The following is a 20,224-nucleotide window of genomic DNA, read 5'->3' as shown; positions in this document are numbered from 1 at the left end:
CGATGGAGCCTCAGAGGCAGGGGTCTGGGGTGTTGGTCTGCATGCCCCAGCGTAAGCACCTTTTGAGCATCTCTGCCATTATGTGCAGGCTCACAGAGAAGGGTGCATGTGCACACATGCCCAACATACGTGGGTCTAAGATGTAGATACACACATCGCCACATCACTTTTACCAATTGTATATTGATTATTAAAATGGTCAAGAAATAGGCTGAATGCGGTGGCTCACACCTGTAATCCCAGCATTTTGGGAGGCTGAGGCAGGTGGATCATGAGGTCAGGAGTTTGAGACCAGCCTGGCCAACAAGGTGAAACCCCGTCTCTACTGAAAATAGAAAAATTAGCCAGGCATAGTGGTGGGCACCTGTAATTCCAGCTACTTGGGAGGCTGAGGCAGGAGAATTACTTGAACCTGGGAGGCGGAGGTTGCAGTAGACCGAGATTGTGCCACTGCACTCCAGCCTGGGCGACAGGAGTCGTCCCCACCAAATGCAAAAAAAAAAGAAAAAAATCAAGAAATAGACATTAAAACGGTTGAGATAAAAAAGGAATGAAAGTGATGATATTTTTTCCACACTTTTCAGCGGCTTGTTTTACATGTGTCTTGCTCTGGGTGCCCTGCTAGAGGATCTAGAACTTGTGCTCTCTGGAGTGACAGTGACTGGGAAGTCCTTGGGTGGGAAGTGATTGACAATCTGTTGTGAACCATTCCAAGCCCTTTGTGCAGAGGCCTTTGGACATCCTGTTAGCTGAAAATGGTGGATCACCAGGACCTGCGTGATGCTAAATCCAAAGTACTTTTCAGTTCTCATTTTATTTTGACTTCTCAGTAGCATTTGACATGACCCCCACCCTTTTGAAATGTTTCCTCTCCTGAGGGCAGCCATGACACAGAGACACAAAGTACAGATCTGGCTGTCTACATGCTAGGGCGCCCCATGATTTGACCATAGGCCCTCTTCTCATGTTGTCCTGTCTCCCTCGGTCACCTGATCTATAGGCCAAAGGGCCGCTACATTCTTCCTCCAGCCCTGACCTCGACTTGGAACTAATGCCATTGGCTAGCAGTCTCTCCTCGGATGTCTCACATGCCCCTCAAACTCGCCATGAAATCGCCCGGCCGATTTCAGTCTTTTTTATGTGAATTTTATATGAATTTATTTTTAACCTTTTATTTCATACCAATTTTAGACTTACAGAAAAAATTTCAAGAATAGTACAGAGAGGCCGGGCATGGTGGCTCACGCCGTAATCCTAGCACTTTGGGAGGCCAAGGTGGGTGGATCACGAGGTCAGGAGATCGAGACCATCCTGGCTAACATGGTGAAACCCCGTCTCTACTAAAAATACAAAAAAAATTAGCCAGGCGTGGTGGCGGGCGCCTGTAGTCCTAGCTACTTGGGAGGCTGAGGCAGGAGAATGGCGTGAACCTAGGAGGCAGAGCTTGCAGTGAGCCGAGATCGTGCCAGTGCACTCCAGCCTGGGCGACAGTGCGAAACTCCGACTCAAAAGAAAAAAAAAATAGTACAGAGATTTCCCATGCACCCCTCACCCAGCTTCCCTAATGCGAACATCTCACATAACCACAGTGCAATGGTCAAAACCAGGACATTAACGTTGATGCAATAGTGATAACTAAACGTCTGTAATCCCAGCACTTTGGGAGGCTGAGGTGAGCTGATCACTTGGGGTCACAAGTTTGAGACCAGCTTGGCCAACAGGGTGAAACCCTGTTTTTACTAAAAATACAAAAATAAGCTGGGCTTGGTAGTGAATGCCTATAGTCCTAGCTACTCGGGAGGCTGAGGCAGGAGAATCGCATGAACCCAGGAGGCGGAGGCTTCAGTGAGCCGAGATCTTGCCACTGCACTCCAGCCTGGGCTATCCATCTCCAAAAAAAAAATAATAATAATAATATCTCCAAAAAAAAAATAATAACTGAACTATGACCTGAATTGAATTTCAGAAGTTTTCCTATGCATATTTTCTTTTGTTCTGTCTCGAGATTTAGCTAGATCTCAAGATTGCATTGGCTATTTCTCTTTAGTCTTTTTCAGCCTGTAACAATTCTTTTGTTATTTGTAATCTTTATACTTGTGAAGAGTACTGATCCGTTATTTTGGAAATGTCTCCTCAATTTCAGCTTGTCTAGTGTTTTCTCACAATTGAGGTTATGCATTTTTGGCTGAAATACCACAGAAATGCTGTTATGTCTTCTCAAGAAGTTCATAACATCAATACTCTTCTTCCTGGGTTTTAAATAAATGAAACTTCATAGATAAAGTGAAAAGTCAGTTTAAACCCCTTGTTCCATTCTCAACCACTTCTCTCTCCCGTTTCTGTTCACTCTTCACATGCTCCAATCTGACATCTGTCCACCCATCACTCTGAAGCTGTTCTTTTTTTTGTCACCAACAGGTTCCATATTGCCAAATCTAATGGCCACTTAGCAGCACCATTAGGGAATACCACTCTCCTTCCTGGCAGTGGCGCCTGCCTCACCTTGCCTTCTGCCCTGGCCCCTCTTTTTGCTGCCTGAACTTAAACCAGTTTTTCAAGTTGTGGCTTGTGAACCTCTAGTGGGGCATGAAATGTTAGCATGTTGATTGCTTTTTAAAATGAAATAGAGTAGAAAATATTAATAAGTGTTGCCCAGTTGTGAGAGTGAGTATTGCTGTGGGGATAGTGTTTGTTTTGGGGGTGTATGCGAGGGTGCCCTGTAGAAAGCTTTCTTACTGTGGTGACAGTCACATAAGAAAGGGCATTTTAAGGCCTGTGCTGGTTCCTCCTCTTCTGTCCCCAGGGGATCGAACCCAGTTTGTGAGCTGTAAACATCAACAACATGTTGAGGACTTGTGAATTGGTATCTGTAAGCCCCAGTCCACCCGGCAATCTCATGCTCTGCTCTTCCTTTTCCTTGATTGTCCTGTTCCAGTGAGACAGGCCTCTCAGTTCCTTGAAGGCGTCACACTTGTTCCTTCCTCATGGCCCTGTGCTCCCATGGGGCTGCTGTGGCTTTTCACACCTCAGATCTCAGGTCAGTTCAGTGTGGCCTCCTTAGAAATACCCACACCACCACACCAGTCACCCTTGTTTCCCTCATGGCAGTGAGCCCAGTCCATAGCTGCGTGTACTTGCTTACTGTCCATTTCTCTCTCTCTCCCCATCCCTCCTTCTCTGTCATGTAAGCCCCGTTGTGGGCAGGGGCCTTATGTATCTTGTTCTTTGTTGGTTCCCTGGCGCTTAGCACAGTGCCAGGACATAGTAGACATTGAGTAAGTGTGTTTTAGGCAAATGTATTAATGAGTCTTTATTTCTGAAGCCCAAGTAAATTGTTCCAAGTTGAGATATCTGAAAAAGTAGGACCAATTTTCCCTCCACTGTCACCAGCTGTGGCTAAACCAGTGCGTGGTACAGGAGAGAACCCAGCCATGTCTGTCCAGCCCCCTTTTTACCATGCTCACTTTCAGGAGCAATCAGGAAGGTGCCTGGAGACATAGTGATGACAAGAAGACCACCAGTAGTTGGTACACTTATTCTAGGATTCTCTGCTGTCCTTAACCTGTCATTTTTCTTGCTTGTGCCTGGGTGTTCTCTTTCATTTTCTTTTCTTTTGAGACAGAGTCTTGCTCTGTCACCCAGGCTGGAGTGCAGTGGTGTGATCTCGGCTCACTGCAACCTCTGCCTCCCATGTTCAGGCGATTCTCCTGCCTCAGCCTCCTGAGTAGCTGGGATTACAGGTGCCCGCCACCATGCCCAGATAGTTTTTATACTTTTTTGGTAGAGACAGGGTTTCACCCTGTTGGCCACGCTGGTCTCAAACTCCTGACCTCAGGTGATCTGCCCTCCTCAGCCTCCCGAAATGCTGGGATTACAGGCGTGAGCCACCGCACCCGGCCTCATTTTCTTCCTCTCCAAATCCTTCTCTCCATACACCATCTCCCCCTTTCTTCCTACTGTGAATAAATATTGAACTACAGTATTACGTAAGAATAAGTGTGTTTTTGTTTACAATGTTTAGGGCAGTGCTAAAGAGAATTGGAAAGTTCTTACATCTCTTTCCCTCTTCTCTATGTCCTTTCTGGGTTGACTCAGCTCTGGAGAGGATTCTGGCTAGTGCTGGTGACATGTGTTGACGATGCCACACGTAAATAAAGTCACCTCCGAGAATCCTTCCCAGTGGACATGATGTGCAAAATGCTGAACTTCCGAGTCCAGCACCCCCTTGTCCTGCCATGCCCAGCCCCTGTTTACTTTTGTGTTTTACACAGCATGAGGGTGGTGGTGGGGACCACAGTCTTCAGAGCACCAGGACCGTGCTGCCCCCTGGGGAGCAGGGGAGCATAATGTCTAAGCAGAGACTTGGAGGAGGCTTTGCAGACCCTTGCTTAAATGCCCCGGATACTTTCTGTGATGTTGGGCTTGGAGTAAGATGGGGACTGCATCTCTGGACAACACTACCATAGGACTAAAAAGTTCTTGGAAACCTTTTGACAACTAAATAGAGATACTAGATCTTTGTTTTCATTCTCTAAGGTTTTAAGAAATAAAACCTGTCTGATATCAAATCCCACCCTAAAATTCATTAGCTTGATAGATAGATGTTATCAGTTTATTGTCATATACACAAAACCACAAATTAGGAAAGATTGAGCCTCACAAGATCACAGGCCATAATTGTGAGGATTATACGAATGATGGTTGTAGACGATAATTGTGGGGGGATTACCGGCAAATCCATTTACCCCCACAAAATGTAAAAGTGACCAAAATACTTTTTGCTTTAATGTGGTCTGATATCCTTTGGAAGTAGCTTTTCTTTTTTGTTTTCTTCTTACTATAGTACTGTATCATTTCCTAATAAGTTTGTCCTCTTGGTTTCTCAGTTTTTGGTAACGTGAATGTGTTTTAGAGGTTTCTCTGGGATCATGTTCCTCCACAGCACATTGCTTCACAGGGGGTGAATTAGAATCATCTGAAAGCTTTTTCAAAACAGCCCTGCTGGTGCCTCTCTTTTAATACTTGGAGTAAGACCTAGGAATCTCTTTGCAAAAGCTCTTTTTTTTAAAAAGAGACTTCGGTGGTGGTGGGGCATCTCACTATGTTGCCCAGGCTGGTCTCTAACTCCTGGCCTCAAGTGATCCTCCCACCTCAGCCTCCCAAAGTGTTGGGATTACAGGCATGAGCCACCGCCTGGCCTGTAAAAGCTCTTTAAGAGATTCAGGTGGACCTCTGGGTAAGCGTGACTCCTTCACTCCAACAGATGGAAACCATTATGCTGTAATGTGCTGTTTAAGGGGGAAAGACCAAGGACTGAATTTGCTTTGAGATCAAAGCATGGATTTTGAAGGCAAAATGATGATAGATCCCACGTTAATTATTAGGACGAAGATAGAACAGACAGCATCATAGAGATTTCAGCAAGACAACAAACATTCAATAACAGGAAAAGGTCGGGTGTGCCAACTGAAAATAGCAATCTAGGATGCTCCATGCTAGGGTGCTCTTTGGACTAGAAAGCCGTAGACCCTGGACCTAAATCAGTAATTTTCAAGCTTGTTGGACCCATGAGCCCAATTTAGTAGGCAGAAGGTCCTTTGGATCCTTTGCTTTAACTAGACACACTCAACCAAAAGCAAATCAACCCTTACCAGAATGGATGGTGTTGTGGCCTTTGGTGAGATACCAAGGGTGAGACTCCTATATAGGTTGCGAAATAAATAGAAGCAATAAAAGCACTGATGGATATTTTTCTATTTTTGGATCTAGTGACCTAAATTAAACTCATATTTTAAATCTTATCAATATAGCATAGTGCTTGCAAGCATGAATCCTGCAAATGACACGATGTGTGACTTTGGAACCTCTGTTTCTTCATATTTAAAATGGGGATGATGATAACAGTAGTGCCCACGTGAAAGAATACTCATGAGGATCAGATGAAACACTCCTGTGAGAGTGCTTCTGATGCCTGGCGCTTAGCAAACACTCAGTAAACACCTGATTTGTTGCCATCTGTTTTAGGGGGCTGAGGCCATGGTTCTGGAGAGCGTTATGTTTGCCATTCTCGCAGAGAGGTCACTTGGGCCAAAACTCTATGGCATCTTTCCCCAAGGCCGACTGGAGCAGTTCATCCCGGTAAGATTTGTTCATAAACGCTTAGTTGACATATGCCACAGACAGAAGATGGCTTCTTTGTCTCATTGCTGCAAGAACCTGCAATGCTGTGTTTTCACTGTTAACCTCACCTATGTCATTAAACTGTATCAGAAATCATGAAAAGCAACATTTATTTTGTACTTACATCCGAACCTCTTTCTTTTCTGTAAAGGTGTATTCATCCAAATTTGAAATATATATGAAACTTACCATTTTATTGTCCCCTGAGGCTGTGTACCCTGAGACTTTGCCCTTTTCACCGTGTTCCTCTCAACTTCTAGGGCCCTGCTTTATAGAACTTGCTGCTAGAACACCTTGGCCCTGCTCAGTCTCTGACTGTAGCCCTGTGGGGGCCATGCCTGTTCTTTCCCATCACCCTTCCTTGGTTTGTTTTGTGCATTCCTACTGAGTCTCCCTACCTCCCATCTTCCTGTCCCCATATGCTGGTCAAATTCTTAGATTTCAAGGCCTTGCTCCAAGACCTTGCAGTCTTATTTCTAAGCAGTCAGGATTATTTTCCCTTTCTTATTGTCCCAAGGCAGTTTTAATGTTGCTGTAACATTTACCAGTATACCATGTCTTAGAGTTACATGTACATATCTAAAGCATAGGTCCTGTTCCTCTACCCACCCACCCCTGACTCCATGCCCTGCACAATGCTTCATGCCCAGAGGTTCTCATGAACCCTAAGTGTTGAAGTGTGGCTCTGAGCCCTGGCAATACTTCTTTGATTGGCAATGCTCGTCTTTGTCAGCCTGCACTCTCTTCCTAGATAGATCAGATATTCCCCATTTTCATTGAGCGTAAGTTCCTTGAGGACTAGAATCATAAGCTGCTAGCTTTTCCTGCCCTGCTGCATGAGATATCTTATCCATGAGAGGCCTGGGCATGTCCAGGGCTGCCCTGTACATCTGTGCAGATGGAGCCCAGCACTAGGATGCCTGGCAGAGGGGTGCTCTGCTGCGTCTGGCTGGGGACCAGGGGCAGGGGTTTCTTTGTCTAATCCCACAGCCCAGAAACAGAGAGGCTAGTTGTGCTCTGTCTCCCCAGAAGAGGTATCCTCTTCTAGTTGACAGTGGCACTGTCCGTCTGTGCTAGTGTTGTGCTAGCTGCCAGTGCTGAGGATGTGTTTAGATGAGTGGATGGTGCCTTCACTGCGCTGGCTTTTTCCTTTAGTTTGCTCCCTGGCACCTGGCTATGTTTTAGTAGAGACAGGGTTTCTCCATGTTGGCTAGGCTGGTCTCGAACTCCCGACCTCAGGTGATCCACCCGCCTTGGCCTCCCAAAGTGCTGGGATTACAGGTGTGAACCACCGCGCCCGGCCGAGATGATAAGTTTTTGAAAGAATTTTGTAAATAATAGAACCTCATATGGTTATAAGTGGCAATATAGGTGAATCTTACAAACATAATGTTGAATGATCAAACTGCAGGAGACTGTAAGTAGTATCATACCATTCTATAAAGCCTGATAAATTTTAAAAATTGTTTAAGAATATGTGCACATGTAGTAAAAGTTCTCTTTTTGGAAAAGGTAAGGGAATTGTGTTAACACAATTCAGAATAATAAAAATATCTTGGGGACAAAAAGGGCAGGCATCAGGACACATAGATTATAGTATCTGTGGAACTGATTTTGTTCTAGTTCTTAAGTTCTATCTATGCTCTTGTATGTATTGTTTATTATATATTAAATTTTTTGAGATGGGAGTCTCACTCTCTTGCCCAGGCTGGAGTGCAATAGCATGATCATAGCTCACTGCAGCCTCGAACTCCTGGACTCAAGTGATCTTTCTGCCTTAGCCTTTCAGGTAGCTGGGAGTACAGGTGCACACCAGCACACCCAGCTTATTAAAAATTTTTTTTTGTAGAGATGGGTCTTGCTGTGTTACCCTGGCTGGTCTTGAACTCTCCTGGCTTCAAGCTCTTCTCCTGTCTCAGCCTCCTAAGTCACCAGGATTACAGGTGTGAACCACTGCACCCAGCCATAGTGAAGATTTTTTTAAAATTCTGTTATATACTAGGTTTGAACCATATGACGCCGCCGGTGTTTGACTGTTTTTGACCAACAAGAATGGCAGTTTCATTTGATTCAACCTAATACCGTATGTTATTTCTAGATTTGCTTTTTTTTTTTTTTTTTTTTAAGATAGGGTCTCACTCTATTGCCCAGTATAGTGAAGTATAAGTGGCCTGATCTCAGCTCACTGCAGCTTCAACCTCCCAGGCTCAAGTGATCCTCTCACCTCAGCCTCCCGAGTAGCTGGGACTACAGGCACGTGCCACCATGTTTGACTAATTTTGTTTATTTTTTTGTAGAGACGGGGTCTCCCTGTGTTGCCCAGGCTGGTCTCAAACTCCTGGGCTCAAGCAGTCCTCCCGCCTTGGCCTCCCAAAGTGCTGGGATTACAGGCATGAGCCACCACGCCTGGCTTAGGTTTACTCTTCACTGCTTGGGATCAGGTGATTTAGTTTCATGATTCCTGTAGCCATCTTTCAAAGGGCATGTGAGAATAGCCGGGCCACTAGGGATAGTAGGTAGTCTGTTTCTCTTTCTCTACTGGGGAAGGAATTTGGAATACTGAGATTTGTTCATATCTGAGCATGTTAGCTTCAGATTTTCCTTGTTGCCAAATTAATGGCAGTTTTGAAAGCTGAGTGAGCTACCTTAATAAGTCCTGTGTGTCCTGCTGCTGGAAGTGGAGGCCCTGTTCTTATTGCAGCATGGTAATTTGTTGACAGTGCTGTGGTGACAGTGCTTTCTGGAGGGAGTTGAATAGAAGGTTGAGTCCAATGCTTACAGTGAGCTCTTAGCTCTCAGTAGCAGACATCTGCCACTTGCTGAGCTGCACCCTGGGCTAGGTGCTGTCCCAGAGACCTCATCTGCATTCTCTCCTCCAGCTCTCCTGGCAACTCTGTGAGAGAATTCATGTCCTGATTCCCATTTGATAGAAATGGGAACACACAGATGTATGAGGTAACTTGGATGGCCATGTAGCTTTGAAATGAGAATTAAAGCCACAATTTCAACTGAGGTTTCCCTGAGTTGGGAGCATTCACTCTTACCCCTGTGCTGTACTTCTTTGCATTTTCACAGAAACCTCTCTTTAGATTTCTGCAGGGTGGCAGGTTGCATGAGGAAGCTCTGGAGGTCTCAGTTGATTGTGAGCTCCCATGGGCCTCCTGTAAAAGGGCAGCCAAACAAGCATGGCCTCGGGCTGATTTAGGGGAAGTGCAGGATGCAGAGGCCAGGAGGAAGTCCTCTAGACACTGTTTCTTTGCCCAACTTTGCCCTGGACACCTGCTCTGTGCCAGGCCAGGTGCTGACACCACCACTGGGAGCAGCTGGAGACGGCCCCCCTGTCTCTGTGACGCATCTCCTGGTTAGGACCTATTCTGGACCCCACATCTCACCTGCAACACATCAGAGTAGAATGTCCCAGCTGATGGAGGAGCTGGAAGTGGGGCCATGTGATAAACTGCTGAAGACATGGACTTCAGCATTGGGTAGTGAATAGACATTCAGTGTGGTTTTAGAGGCCAGAATAATAGATGATAGTGTAGTAGTTCAATAAAATTTAAGGAAGGAGTTCTCATAGTTAAAAAGGGTTCAAAATGAAATAGATCTTTGGAGGTGGCCGGCTCCTCACTGTAGAAATGCCATAGCAATTGCTGGGTCACTGTCTGTAGGGACACAGTGTCCATTCTTAAGGGAATTTGGGGCATTGGGTGAGACTTAAATGCACTACAAAAACACTTCTCGTTCCTAAGACTGTGTGATCTCACTCTTTTTAGTTTACTTGGTAAATGTCAGTTTTTAACTCCCTTTTCTTTTTCAGAGCCGGCGATTAGATACTGAAGAATTAAGTTTGCCAGATATTTCTGCAGAAATCGCCGAGAAAATGGCTACATTTCATGGTATGAAAATGCCATTCAATAAGGAACCAAAATGGCTTTTTGGCACAATGGAAAAGTAAGTGGTCAAATCACTTGGTCCTAACATAGTTTTACAGTGGTGGCTCCCAGAAGTACCATAAGTGAGCATTTGTTTGCCACAGTAGTCAGAGGTCTTCCTAGTTCACTGAAGTGCAGGGTGTCAGCTGGTGATACTTGTCTCATAAGTAAGTCTTTCTTGTGTGTAAAAGTCAATTCCTAAACCAGGAAAGAAGGCTTATGCAAAAATGCTATTGAACGGGTGAAGGGACAGAAGAAAGTCACCTTCCTAGAATGCCACGAACCCCCAAGGCCACTCCTCTTCCCCTCAGTCATGGCAGTCAGAGGGGTCCCACTGGCATTGTGACTGCGCTGGGATTGAATGTTTAACCAAAGCCCCAAGAACAGCAAGCCTTGGTGAATTGATCGGTGATTCTTTGTTCTGTTCTTTTTTGAAAATTTTTTAATAGGTATCTAAAGGAAGTGCTGAGAATTAAATTTACTGAGGAATCCAGAATTAAAAAGCTCCACAAATTGCTCAGTTACAATCTGCCCTTGGAACTGGAAAACCTGAGGTGAGTTTTCCTTCTATTTCCTGACTTTAAATATTCTTAGTCACTAAAACTGTTGTCAGTAAACATTGATTGAGCTTGCCTTATGTCTGGCATTTTACATTGGTTTTACAGGATGAATTTAAACCATAAGTTTTGTCATCTGGAATTATGGTTCTCTAGAGGACTAGAGATTATGGACTCTATGGACTAGAAGCCCACACGTGGCCTCTGGTCAGTTTGTGAAGGTTCCATTGAGAAGGAAAATGTCAAAGGAGTGGCTTGGTGGCCAGGGCAGTAGAGTGTCTGGTGGGGTGGATTTTCTCTGGTGGGGAGAAGGGAGTAAGGGCAGGCTGGGGAGTGTGAGGAAGATCCTTCTTCCTTACAGTTCAACCTTGGCTTTTGCGAGAAACAGAGTCTTCATACTGATCTCTGAAGCAAGGCCGTCATTGTCCTCAGAGTGATGCTTGGCGCAGGCCACTCACATCTGTACACTAACAAGTATTTACACCTTTTTTTTTTTTTTTTATAAGACGGAGTCTCGCTTTGTTGCCAGGCTGGAGTGCAGTGGCGCGATCTTGACTCACTGCAGCTTCACCCTCCTGGGTTCAAGTGATTCTCCTGCCTCAGCCTCCCGAGTAGCTGGAACTACAGGCATGCGCCCCCACACCCAGCTAATTTTTGTATTTTTGTGGAGATGGGGTTACACCATGTTGGCCAGAGTGGTCTTGATCTCTTGACCTCGTGATCGGCCCACCTCGGCCTCCCAAAGTGCTAGGATTACAGGCGCGAGCCACCACACCCAGCCACAAGTATTTACACCTTTAATTACTCAGGTTTGTGCCTCCTCTGCTAGGCTTGATGATCGCTGCTGAGGGAAAACAAGTAAACAAATAAAATAATGTCAAATTGTGATAAGTGCTGTGACAGAAACAGATCAAAGTAGGCCCTTAGTCTGCATAGGAGGACCTGCTTGGGTCACTGGTAAGAGAAGGGCTGTCTAAGGGGGTGCTATACAAGCCGAGACCAGCAGAGAAAGGGGCTCCAGGAGGGAGCGGCACATGCAGAGGTCCTCCGGGGGAAGAGCTGAGTGCAGAGGGCCTGTGGAGTTGTTGCCACGTAATGACGCAGTTGTCAGAATTCACATCACAGATACTACTCTGAAACTGTGTGTTGCTTTGGAGCACGAATTTGGTGCTGGCCATGTGGAGAAAGCAAGACTGTGTGCAGCTGACTGAGAAGCGTGATGGGTAACAGTGAAACCTTTCTTTTCAGATCATTGCTTGAATCTACTCCATCTCCAGTTGTATTTTGTCATAATGACTGTCAAGAAGGTAAGAATTGCTATGTTCTGTTACAGATGAGGTTTGTGTGCATACTTAGAAAATTACTGGCAGTGTGTCTGAAAAATGTAAGGTAGCATCAAGAGTATTAGGTACATTAAAGTATGATACAACCAGACAATGAGGTTTTGTATTATTTTTATAGAGTATGAGGCCAGTCACAATGTCTCATGTCTGTAATCCCAGCACTTTGGGAGGCCAAGGTGGGAGGATTGCTTGAGCCCAGGAGTTCTAGACCAGCCTGGGCAACATAGCAAGACCCCATCTCTACAAAAAATAAAAACATTAGCCAGGTATAGTAGTGTGCACCTGTAGTCCCAGCTACTTGGTAAGCTGAGGCAGGAGGATGGCTTGAGCCTAGGAGTTCAAGGCTATAGTATGCTGTGATCGCACCACTGTACTGTAGCCTGGATGACAGAGCAAGATCCTGTTAAAAAAAAAAAAAAAATTACATGGAAGAAATCCGAAAGAATATTCACTAAACTTGGGAACTGGGATGAAGAACTTAAACTTTCTAAGTCACATATTACTTTTTCAGTGTTTAACTCCTTACAGTAAACATGTATGATTTTTTTTTAACCTGAAAAAGCAATAAAAGAACAAGATCCACTGCCTACCCCATTGAGTCCCGGGCCCTTCCCCCTTCTGCACCACACAGCGTAGTGTTGCTTATCGCAACACGTGTAATCCTAACACCTCCTCTCCTAGTATCAGTGCACTGTGCTATTAATTATTTCGGGCTTCTCTGCTTTGAAAACATGACAGTGATATGTTCCTTACTGTAACAAAACTTCATCCCATGCAATTGCACATTGAACAGTCTCATCAGAGGCCCCCCACTATGCAGCTCCCACTGGTGCTGCTGACATGGCCTCTCTCTGCCTTGACCTTGCCTCCCCTAGTCACAGTAGTTCAGGTCCCACCTTGAGCCCTTGTTTGCCAGGCTCAGCAGTTTGCTTTTAATCCTGAGAACAGTTTCTCATGAAGACTCGTCATCCATAAGCCATTCATTTGAGCCAAATTACCTTTTACTAATTAGCTGCTCATCGCTGGCTAACTCAAGGAGGGTGTAGACATTACAGCTACAGCTTTGTGTATTACCCTTGCCCTTCTGGTGGTGAGGGGGTGATAAATGGCACAGACATCACTAGAGAGAGGGGACTGGAGGAGATCGGCTGTGTTGATGATGGCAAAGTGTAGGAAGGATCGAAGAGGTAACAGTTGTACATTAATTTTGTTGTGCTACTTTGGGCGTCTGCCTCCAATTTGCCTTTTTTTTGAGACTGTTACTGTGTCACCCAGGCTGGTGTGCAGTAGTGCAGTCTAGGCTCCACGTAACCTTAGCCTGTTGGGCTTAAGTGATCCTCCTGCCTTAGCCTCCTGAGTAGTTGGGATCACAGGCGCACACCACTACACCTGGCTAATTATTTGTGGAGATGGAGTTTCTCTGTGTTGCCCAGGCTGGTCTTAAACTCCTGGACTTAAGTGATCCTCCCACCTCCACCTCCCAAAGTGCTGTGATTACAAGTGTGAGCCAATACACGTTTTCTGGTCTCCAGTTTACATTGTAATTGCTACTCTAAATGGAAAAAGTATGCTGAAGAGCCTAGACACTATACCTCCACTAGAAATCCTAAGGAGAGAGAGCTGCTGAAAACCTAGCGAAGGTTGGCTCACTGGTGCCAGCAGCAGGATGTCGGAGATGCTGAACATCATGTCGAGTGTGGGGATCTCAGGAACGCAGGCCTGCAGAGCCAGGCTGATGGCTGACCAACTCCTGACCCAGAATCCAATACTAAAGCAAATAGTCTTGTAGGAATGCTGCCTGTGGTCTCCTTGGGAAGGAAAAGCAGGCAAGAACAAAGCAGGGGATCCCCTGTGGCAGCTGAGCTCTCCCTTGCCTTTCTTACCAGGAGGGCACTCCCACAGCTTCCCAGCTGGAGTGCTGCAGCCAGCTGGCCTGCAGACAGCAAACCAAGTCCCAGGGCTGCTGAGGGTGGTGTTTGGCTAGCACGAGCTCCTGCATGCCACCATGCAGAACATTTGGGAAGTACTGTCCTGACAGCAGAGCAAGAGGCCAGGCTTTGTTCCACAGTGATCCTGGGGGTCTGGCGAGGACTAGGGCTGTGAGCAGGGGTTCTCATGGCCAGGTGGGTCAGGAGCCACCCTGCATAGGGTTATGCCTCCCGTGAGCACTTCTACGCTCTGTCTAGGCCCTGGTGATGTCCACAGACCAAAAGCCACATTCAGTTAGGATTCCCTAAGGGATCAAATCCATTCTCTCGGCTCTGCTGTTCAAGGACTTGAGCCTTCTATTGTAAAACATAAACCATGTTATCCAAACCTTTTGCAGGTAATATCTTGTTGCTGGAAGGCCGAGAGAATTCTGAAAAACAGAAACTGATGCTCATTGATTTCGAATACAGCAGTTACAATTACAGGTACTGTGTTACAGTCCAGTGTTTCCATCTCAATATTGATTTATCATTACGATATGCTTAATTAACAGTTATTAGAGAAAATAAGTCAAAATGCCGCTCTGAGTTGCAAGCTGCTTCACCTGGAATCAGTGGCTTCTCGTCCAGTGGCCGGTGATGGTTGTGGTGAAGCAGCACAGCCTTCTTTGTTCCTAGCAGACAGCGCTAGTTGGGGACAGCCATGCCATTCAGTCCAGACTTTGGCATTTTCTTTTGGCTTCAGAGGTCATTTTCTTCTCATAAATCCTGGTCTAGGAGACACAATGTTCTGGAGTAGTGGTTCAGGTGCACCTGTATAGCTTTAGTCAGCTGTGATGCTGATCAACCACCTGTTGTCTCTCTCTGTCATTAAAGCAGCTACAGTCCTGCTCCCTCAGCAAGTCCAGATGGCAACAGGAGTGGCGTGCTCGGAACTCAGCCTTTCTTTCTTCTGCAGTCAGGGAGCCTCCAGGCATACGGTTTGCCTCATTGTGTGCACTGTCTTATGTCTTATTTCAGGGGATTCGACATTGGAAATCACTTCTGTGAGTGGATGTATGATTATAGCTATGAAAAATACCCTTTTTTCAGAGCAAACATCCGGAAGTATCCCACCAAGAAACAACAGGTAGGAGATGAGTTTTTGTATACTTGATAGGAAAATTACATGTCAATTTCATGCAGTTAGAATTACATCTTCTTTTTTATTTTTTGAGGCAGGGTCTCACTCTGTTTCCCAGGCTGGAGTGCAGTAGTGCGATCATGGCTCACTGTACCCTTGACCTTCTGTGCTCAGGTGATCCTCTCGCCTCAGCCCCCCAAGTAGCTGGGACCACAGACGCATGCCACCACGCCCAGCTAATTGTTTGTATTTTTTGTAGAGATGGGATTTCACCAAGTTGCCCAGGCTGGTCTCAAACTCCTGGGCTCAAGTGATCCTCCTGCCTCAGCCTCCCAAACTGCTGGGATTACAGTTGTGAGCCACCATGCCTGGCCTACATCTTCATTTTTAAAGATAACCTTTTAAAATTTGGTTTATGTTAAAAAATGTTATTTTGTTCCTGTTAAATGTAGACACAAACTTGACCTTTTAGTCCAGCTTATTAAAAATCTCTGTGCCAGAGATACTTGTATTCAGAGAAGAGCTTTGTCATCCTTTGTAGTTCCTTGTAGTATTTTTTTGAAAAGCCCAGCCTTGATTCTGCTTTCTGGCCATCTTTTTGGTGATCACTGACCTTTTTCTATTCATTTCACACTATGGAGAGAGAAGTAATCTTTCGGGCACCAGGGTTTAGTAGTGGGAGGAAATATCTTTGGTGTTAACAGTTCCCTTTCCTGTCCTGAATGATGGGAGGAGGCTGGTGATTGTGTGGAGAATCAGTTCTCATGGGAATTTCCTCCTGAGATCTTTCTCTCCCATTCCTCAGCCCAGCACTGAAACCTTGGTAGCGGTGCTGAAGCTGAGTAGGATTGGGAGGGTGCACCAAGCCTGCCTCCAAAATAGTGGTCTCCAGTTTATGTTTTAAGTGCTACTCTAAATGGAAAAAGTATGCTGAAGAGCCTAGACACTGTATCTCCACTAGAAATCCTGGGGAGAGAGAGCGGCTGAAAACCTAGCAAAGGTTGGCTCACTGGTGCCAGCCCCAGGATGTCGGAGATGCTGAACATCATGTTGAGTGTGTGTCTCCCAGTGTGTCACAGTAGATGCATATGCTTAGTGACAGCTATTGACATTGTCTATTTTAACCATCATTGATCCTAACACAATTACTTTTTTTTAAGCTCCATTTTATTTCCAGTTACTTGCCTGCATTCCAAAATGACTTTGAAAACCTCAGTACTGAAGAAAAATCCATTATAAAAGAAGAAATGTTGCTTGAAGTTAATAGGTAACATTTTTCCTTTTTTGATTTGTAAAGATAGCTTTCCTCTTTATAGACTATATTTGGGAGATGCTGACTTGCAATTAGGAGTATTTTAGAGCTTCTTCTTCTTTTTTTTTTTTTGAGACAGAGTCTTGCTCTGTCACCCAGGCTGGAGTGCAGTGGCGCAATCTCGGCTCACTGCAACCTCCGCCTCCCGGGTTCAAGCAATTCTCCTGTCTCAGCTTCCCAAGTAGCTGGGATTACAGGTGCCTGCCACCATGTCCAGCTAATTTTTGTATTTTTTAGTAGAGATGGGTTTTTGCCATGTTGGCCAGGCTAGTCTTGAACTCCTGACCTCCAGTGATCCACCCAGCTCGGCCTTCCCATGCTGGGATTACAGATGTGAGCCACTGCGCCTGGCCTAGGAGCTTCTTTTTAATCGTACATCTTTAGGACTTGCACTTTGTCAAAAATAGAATCTGCTACTTCTCCATTGTGGCCGAGACTATGCAGAGCTTTCAGATCTGAGCATACAGCAGGCAAAGTATATTAGTCTGTTCTCACATGGCTACAAAGATATTACCTGAGACTGGGTAATTTATAAAGAAAGGAGTTTTAATTGACTCACAGTTCTGCATGGCCAGGGAGGCCTCAGGAAACTTAACAATCATAGCAGAAGGCAAAGGGGAAGCAAGGCACATCTTACATGGCGCCAGGAGAGAGAGGGGCAGAGAGATAGAGAAGAAGGTAGGACTACCAAATACTTGTAAAACCATCAGATCTTGTGAGAACTCCCTCACTATTGTGAGGACAGCATGGGGGAAACTACCCCCATGATCTAATCACCTCCTGCCAGGTCCCTCCCTCCACACATGGGGATTACAATTAAAGATGAGATTTGGGTGGGGAGACAGAGCCAAACCATATCACAAGAAGAGTTCCCATGTCCAAGAAGGGTCAGGACACTTTGTGGCATTCTGAACTGTCATCCAGACACAACAACCCAGCCATACAGGGCTGCTGCCACCCAGAGCCTATAGAATTTTTTTTTTTTTTGAGATGGAGTCTTGATCTGTCACCCAAGCTGGAGTGCAGCTATGCGATCATGGCTCACTGCAGCCTCTAACTCTTAGCAAGCCTCTTGCCTCAGCCTCCCAAGTAACTGGGACTACAGGCACGTACCACCATGCCTGGCTAATTTTTGTATTTTTTTGTAGACACGAGGTCTTGCTCTGTTGCCCAGGCTGGTCATGAACTCCTGGGCTCAAGTGGTTCTCCTGCCTTGGCCCCCCAAAGTGCTAGGATTACAGATGTGGGCTACTGCATCTGTCCCTGCAAACTTGTCACTGATGCTTCTGGAGTGGCGGCCACCATATGCTGTGTTTTAACTCTTAAGTTTCTCCTAGAAAATGATTAAACTTATGTTTATCGGTTTTAAGTCTTGCTTTTAACTGTTTTCTCAACAGTTTTCAAAGCAGGGCCCTGAAACTTCCAGATTGTGCAAAGGTCTAGACCACTATTTGTCCATCTCTTTAGTCAAGAGGCCTGTGGGTTGTTCCTATTATTTGGGGTCTCCTGTGACATTTTTTGGTAGAATGGCTGTTTAAGTCACTGTGGCCCCTCATCTTTCCACGCACTTAGCACAGTCATCTCCTCGTGGCCTCCAGAGTGCTCACCCCCAACACTAAGTGTGATGTCACACCTGCCTACCTGCTGGGCTTCACCGCAGCATACATCATCTCTTTCTGTTTCTTGAACTGGTGGAAATAGAAAAAAACAGATGGAGGAGAACCCAGACAGAAAGGGTAGCACACGGGACTCTTGTGGGCCGGGGACCACAGGATGAACAGAGAGTAGGGTTGGAGGATACTAGAGCAGGCACTCCTAAATTTGAGCTTTATCTTCATGTGGATGAGCCCTCAGGGTATTGTTTGAGGAGGAACTTGGATTCACAGTGACTTGGGGGCTTGGTACAGCTTAGAGATGGTGACGTGGCTCACGCTCTCTGATCTGCTCTTTTCACTTCTGTGTGACAGGAGGGGATGGGACAAGGATGGGATTTGAGAATTCTCTTGCTCAAGGAGTGAGAGCTTCATCCCGCCTCCAGCAAAGGGCTGCCTCTTGGTTGCTATGGTGTGCACCCTCCCTTGTAGCAAGCTTGCTTTCTTTTCTGCCAGCATGGCCACCCAGGCCTTCACCTGCACCCTGTGAATGTGAATATATTCACCTTGTGAATATATTATGGCCAAGTGGCATTTACGTGTGCCATGGCCAGGCCAGCTGTGTGTGTTCACACTCACCAGTGCACCTGTCACTAGCAGATGAGGGAAGGGTGTGGGAGTGGTATTCCCATTGTTCTTAGTTAGTCCCGTGGAATATAGACCCATGATTTGCCAACACTAACTAGGTTTGCATCCACACAAGTTAAAATGTCCATCTGGCATGAAATCATTTCATCAGTCCTGTAACTGATACTGTATGTCTCTTATATGTTTCTTGCTTTTATCATTCCAGGTTTGCCCTTGCATCTCATTTCCTCTGGGGACTGTGGTCCATTGTACAAGCCAAGATTTCATCTATTGAATTTGGGTACATGGTATGTTTTAGCAGCGTTTTTGTTTTTTTTTTTCTTCCTACTCCCAGGTAAAAATGCTATAGTATTTGTGAATGTTGGCAGCAAATGACTGTTCCTTACAGAGGGTTCTCTGTCTCCCCAAGTACCCGAATGTGGTGACCTGGTGGCATCAGGACAGTGTGGCTCAGCCCAGGAAGCCGGGGGAGAAGCCGCTGTCACTGATGCTGTGGTTGCCTTTGGAGGTTGCCCTCACTTCCAGGCCAGCTGACCTTGCCTCCCCTGCTTCAGAGAAGTGCCTGCAATCCTGATGGGGAATGTAGGCATCTGCACCCTCGAAGTCCAGCTCTGACCTCAGTCCCTTCTGACACGGGACAGTAAGTGAAGAAGAGTGGGTGGCTCCTGCCTGTGCTGTGGAAGGTTTTATTTATCGGTTACCACTTCATTCTCCAGCCTGTAGTGCCCGACTTTGGGTTGGAAGCTGGTAATTATTGAATTAGACCTCCTGTTTTTCATAGGCATGTTTGTAACCAAGCTAGGCTGTCATTTAATTTTAACCTTAAGAATTGTCAGCCGGGTACGGTGGCTCACGCCTGTAATCCCAGCACTTCGGGAGGCTGAGGTGGGCAGATCACCTGAGGTCAGGAGTTCGAGACCATCCTGGCCAACGTGGGGAAACCCCATCTCTACTAAAAATACCAAAATTAGCATGCATGGTGGCGGGCGCCTGTAATCCCAGCTACTCAAGAGGCTGAGGCAGGAGAACCGCTTGAACCCAGGAGGTGGAGGTTGCAGTGAGCTGAAATCATGCCACTGCACTCCAGCCTGGGTGACAGAACAAGATTCTGTCTCAAAAAAAAAAAAAAAAAAAAAAAAAAAAACTGTCACTGACATAGAAATAGAAAGTATTTTTAACCTTCAGACAAACCTTTCTGTTGTTCCATAGTGAATGAATGTTGGTGAGTTGTCTTGGGGTGGGGGATAACACAAATGTCCACAGTCTGGTGAGCTGCCTTCCTTTGGGACAGGGATGGGACTAGTTCATTTTGACCTCCTCAGTCTTATACTACAATGATTTCTACTTCTAGGCAGAAGGTTTGGTAATGCAAGGATGATATTAGGTAAAAGAAGGGGACATTGGATTTTTAAAGCAGATTTGAGTCATGGTCAAATGATACTGTACGACAAAGCACACTTCGTAACAAGGAATATTACTAGAGATAAAGAAGGGCATTTTGTGATAATAAAGGCATCAGTACATCCAGAGGACATTAAAAACCCTTGTCTTGCTTCAAAAGACATGATATTAAAACTGACAAAAGTGAAAGAAGAAAATGGCAGATTCA

At 45.6% G+C, this 20,224-nt stretch overlaps 1 protein-coding gene across 16 annotated transcripts in view, besides 1 other annotated feature; it reads left to right on the top strand.

The window, feature by feature from the left end:
* The window catches only part of CHKA (choline kinase alpha), a 68,530-nt gene that overhangs the window by 40,534 nt on the left and 7,772 nt on the right, over positions 1-20,224 (top strand). For 6 of the 16 annotated variants that reach the window (NR_164782.1, XM_047426315.1, XM_047426317.1 and 3 more), the window contains 9 exons: positions 6,025-6,138; positions 9,998-10,131; positions 10,562-10,666; positions 11,918-11,976; positions 14,339-14,426; positions 14,961-15,069; positions 16,224-16,330; positions 18,821-18,902; positions 19,025-19,255. Coding sequence is in view for 14 of the 16 variants with exons in the window: in XM_047426315.1 (XP_047282271.1) it covers positions 6,025-6,138; positions 9,998-10,131; positions 10,562-10,666; positions 11,918-11,976; positions 14,339-14,426; positions 14,961-15,069; positions 16,224-16,330; positions 18,821-18,902; positions 19,025-19,189 (963 nt within the window). In the remaining 2 variants the exon portion in view is untranslated. Of the gene's footprint in view, positions 1-6,024; positions 6,139-9,997; positions 10,132-10,561; positions 10,667-11,917; positions 11,977-14,338; positions 14,427-14,960; positions 15,070-16,223; positions 16,331-18,820; positions 18,903-19,024; positions 19,256-20,224 lie in introns of those variants that run through there. The other 10 variants (NM_001376222.1, NM_001376221.1, NM_212469.2 and 7 more) reach the window with 5 other exon arrangements.
* Positions 13,802-14,302: an enhancer, noted in NCBI's record as "H3K27ac hESC enhancer chr11:67834020-67834520 (GRCh37/hg19 assembly coordinates)". NCBI's record gives its function as "activates a minimal SCP1, AML or CMV promoter by ChIP-STARR-seq in naive H9 embryonic stem cells {active_cell/tissue: H9 hESC(naive)}" and the evidence as "EXISTENCE:reporter gene assay evidence [ECO:0000049][PMID:30033119]".

The sequence above is a fragment of the Homo sapiens genome, chromosome 11, assembly GCF_000001405.40.
Source record: "Homo sapiens chromosome 11, GRCh38.p14 Primary Assembly".
NCBI classification, from domain to species: domain Eukaryota; kingdom Metazoa; phylum Chordata; class Mammalia; order Primates; family Hominidae; genus Homo; species Homo sapiens.
Note: the sequence above shows the minus strand (reverse complement) of the source record. Positions and strands in the feature narration are given on the sequence as shown.